Here is a 3,603-nt window from a genome sequence, read left to right as displayed (position 1 = left end):
GTCTTCAGAAGTCCTATGGAGTGTACTGAGGGAGTTCTCCTGAAATTGGACCACCTCCCACTCTGATTGAAGGTCTAAACTTCATTTGGGCTGTTTTTTAAACCCTTGTTTCTCATTAAGAGTGGAAGATTCAATCTCCGTCTTTGGACAGGAGATTCAGGTAAAGAGCTCTGCAGAGAACTGCATTTTTTTCTGCCTCTGTCTCAGGACCAGAGGTTTGGGTCAAGGTTTTTCTACCTCTGTCTCACAGCAGAGATTAAGGTAAAAAACTGGCACTTAGGCACTGGTGGTTTCATTTTACATATCATGCTTTTAAGATTGCAGCTGTTTTCTATCACTTAAAACTTTAGACAGCCTTTCATTTGTGACCAATTCCTGTTAGTTCTTAACTAAAGAGTGTGCCCCCTTTTGCTATTCCAGATGGGGATAATATGAGGATCTGGTCCCCCACACCTTGAGCACTCTGCTGCCACCTGTCAGTTAGAGACCGTCTGAGACACATCACACTTAGACCCTAAACGCATTCCCAGCCTTAATCACTTTGGAAAAGTTTCTAAATTACAGGAAATCAATCTTCTAAATCTGAGTGTTCTTTTTAGAAATACCAGCTGGATTTATGTAATAATGAGAGAGGAGAAAGGAAAAAACCTGGTCAGGCAGGCAGTTAGGGTGGGTCCTAGATTGAATCCTTTCAAACAAAAGAACAGCCTGCAGGCACAGATAAGGGAAGTTGCACAGGGGAGCTTGCTTAAGACATGCCCACAGCCACACAGATAAGAAAGGCTACACAGGTGACTTGCCCAGACATGCCTGCAATGGAAAATTCCATCCCCTGACACATGCACAGTAAGGGGAACAAAGCAATATGGAGTAACTTAGAATAAGGGTCCACATGTACATTAGGAAGACAGGGTAGAGCTACCACAAATTCGTGCCTGATGCAAATGAGATGCCAAGCCCTCATCACTTTCCTATAAAAGCCTTCGCATTCAATCACAAAAATGGCAACCCTTTTTACAGGACCCCTCTCTGTAGCAGAGAGCTGTTCTCTGTCTTTCTCCTATTAAATTTCTGCTCTAAACCTCTATGTCCTTGATCTCCTTGGCCATGAGACTAAGAACTGTGGGTGTCATCCCAGTCAATGAGATCACTTCATTGTGGGGGCTCTACCAGGATAGGATCATTGAAAGAGTGAGTAATAGAAAGGAACTTCAACTCTTTACCTTCACTTTTGAGACCTCCTGCCCTCAATGTTAAAATCAAGCAAAAACACAGAAAATCCGTTGGCCATCTAGATGTGGTTAGCATGGACTGCTTGTCTAAAGACTCAGATGACAGGATTGCCAGAGAGGACTTAGCTAATCCCCCAGATCCCTCAGGGTGTTGGGATTGTTGGCTCTGTTCTGGTTTTCTTTTGCAGAGAGCCTAGCTGTCATGTAGGGCTGGAAGAGATCCTAAAGCAACTGAAGGTTTCTGGCCGGGGCCTCACCCTGGTGTTACCCAAAGGCTTATGGACTAACCTCAGTGCCTGACCACCTGGTGGGTGTTGTCATCAGGATCTCTAAGCTTTACCTATAGTAGTTTCCTTCTTCTTACTATGGCCACTATATCTCCTATCACCTGTCTGTTTGCAATGCTGCAGGAATTTTTATAGCCCAGGGAGATGATTCTGTTAGGATCAGCAAGTGCCATAGTAACTGGGAATATAGCTCAAGCGATTGCTGTTTTTGTAATTTTCTAGAAATAGGAGGTTATTTAGCCCCCAGTGAATGTCCCTCTCTCCATTTTCCCATGCGAGAAGCCTGTAGTGCCCAGTTGAACTAGATAGCCCCTCTATGAGACAAACTAACTTTCTCCCACTAGGAGGCATATTGTGGGGACAGCCTGCCATGCCTCAGATCTCTCACTACCCTTTGTCTGGAGAGCACAAGGAAACACAGCTACTGCCTGCTATTTCAAGGTTCACAGCGTGACCTAGTGGAATGGGAATCCTCTCCATGGGTGATCTTGTCGGTCCTTTGCCAAAAACCTCTAGTTTTCCAATTCTTCTCCCTTTTGTGCCCCTGTACTAGATACCAGGCTTTATGCCCCTTCTGTGAATGGGAAAACTCTGTCTTCAACAGTGAGGAGAAAAATGTCTTTTGAACCAAATTTTAACCTCAATACTGTCTCCATCAGCAAGAAGACAGCCATTCAGTCCCTACGTTCTTTTTAAGACACCTAATGTGCATTCAATTAGAATAGTATTTAAATAGAAAGGGGATTTTATGTCTGGAAGTCAACTGGAACCACTGCTTAAGAATAAATATTTTAGCCCAGGCCATAATAGCAGAATATAGGGCTCAGCCCAGAATACTTCCTCCATTAAGGGTCCTGGACTAAATGCTACTGTTACATAGTCTCTTCTGAGATCCATCTATCAGGGAGCCACAAAGGTTACACAAGTCAAGGAAATTAAAGGGAAATCACCAGTGGAGAACTGGGGTCTCATAGGTGAGCGTGACTATTTCTGCTACCTAGCTCCTCCAGATGCATAGGTGAGCATTATCCCTGCATCCATGGGTGGCATCTATGATGTTGCTGGGACCCAGAGGAGTTGGGAGGGAAGAGGAGAAGAGGAACACCCTTTCTGTCTTTCTCTCTGGGTCACTCCAAAAGAAGAAAGGAAACTAAAGGACACCTTCTTCTCCCCTCTTTTTCCAAATGGTTAACAACCTGTCTTCAGCCTACACTCTCCTCGAGTGCAGCCTGGATCATTGGGACTCCTTTGACCCCCAGACTCTAAAAGAAAAAGCACCTCATATTCCTTTGCACTAGGGCATGGCCATCTTACCAACTGCAGAACAAAGGGGTGTGGGGGCGAGTCTTCTCAGGGAAGTGCTAATTTCAATACTATCTGACAATTAGGTCTTTTCTGCAGGTGAGAGGACAAATGATCTGAGGTCTCCTATGTGCAAAGCTTCTTAACCTTGTGAGACAATCCAGATCTTTGTCAGCATTGTAAAATTAACCCTGCTCTCTTAGCGATCCTATCAGGCAAGCCCATAGGACATAATTTCCCAAAGTCAAAGAAACAAAGCCCTGGGGAACCCTCAAATGCAATTTCCAGATGCCCTGGCTCTTCTTGCCCCCCTATCCACATCATAGCTCCTCCAGTTCTACCACCCAAACCCTCAGAGACTTTTCTATGGTATTTTTTCCATCCTTCTTTCATGGTTTGAAATGGATCCTATCTCTTCTTTTATAATGTCCCTCCAAATTGGGAAAAGTTAATTTCCCAAACCTTAAAATGCTTGGCTCAGTGTTGAGCTCAGGGAAAGGAAACCCAGAAGCCTGACATGCCAGCCAGAGGGTAAAAGGCTTTTTTTTTTTTTTTTACTAGTTGGGCTTTTGGCTTCTCTCTCACTGTGCAAACTGGTAAAAGGAATGGTAAGGGTCACTTTTTATATTCTCTGTAAAGTTTCAATTAATGAAAAAGGATTTGTGAGGTTGGTCTTAAGCTGTAGTCAATCTGGTGTGCTTTGCATGTCTTTCTGTATGATTCTGTCAGAAATCTGGTGTGCTTTGCATGTCTTTCTGTATGATTCTGTTTAGAACAGAATG

At 43.9% G+C, this 3,603-nt stretch overlaps 3 annotated features.

The window, feature by feature from the left end:
• Nucleotides 365-1,564: an enhancer, noted in NCBI's record as "MED14-independent group 3 enhancer chrX:42835354-42836553 (GRCh37/hg19 assembly coordinates)". NCBI's record gives its function as "activates an origin of replication core promoter dependent on BRD2, BRD4, P300/CBP and CDK7 cofactors, and independent of MED14, by STARR-seq in HCT116 cells {active_cell/tissue: HCT116}" and the evidence as "EXISTENCE:reporter gene assay evidence [ECO:0000049][PMID:35650434]".
• Nucleotides 663-912: an enhancer, noted in NCBI's record as "active region_29563". NCBI's record gives its function as "activates an Ori minimal core promoter by ATAC-STARR-seq in GM12878 lymphoblastoid cells {active_cell/tissue: GM12878}" and the evidence as "EXISTENCE:reporter gene assay evidence [ECO:0000049][PMID:35858748]".
• Nucleotides 681-1,181: an enhancer, noted in NCBI's record as "H3K27ac hESC enhancer chrX:42835737-42836237 (GRCh37/hg19 assembly coordinates)". NCBI's record gives its function as "activates a minimal SCP1, AML or CMV promoter by ChIP-STARR-seq in naive H9 embryonic stem cells {active_cell/tissue: H9 hESC(naive)}" and the evidence as "EXISTENCE:reporter gene assay evidence [ECO:0000049][PMID:30033119]".

Source organism: Homo sapiens, chromosome X, assembly GCF_000001405.40.
Source record: "Homo sapiens chromosome X, GRCh38.p14 Primary Assembly".
Taxonomy (NCBI): Eukaryota; Metazoa; Chordata; class Mammalia; order Primates; family Hominidae; genus Homo; species Homo sapiens.
This window is presented reverse-complemented; position numbering and strand designations above follow the sequence as displayed.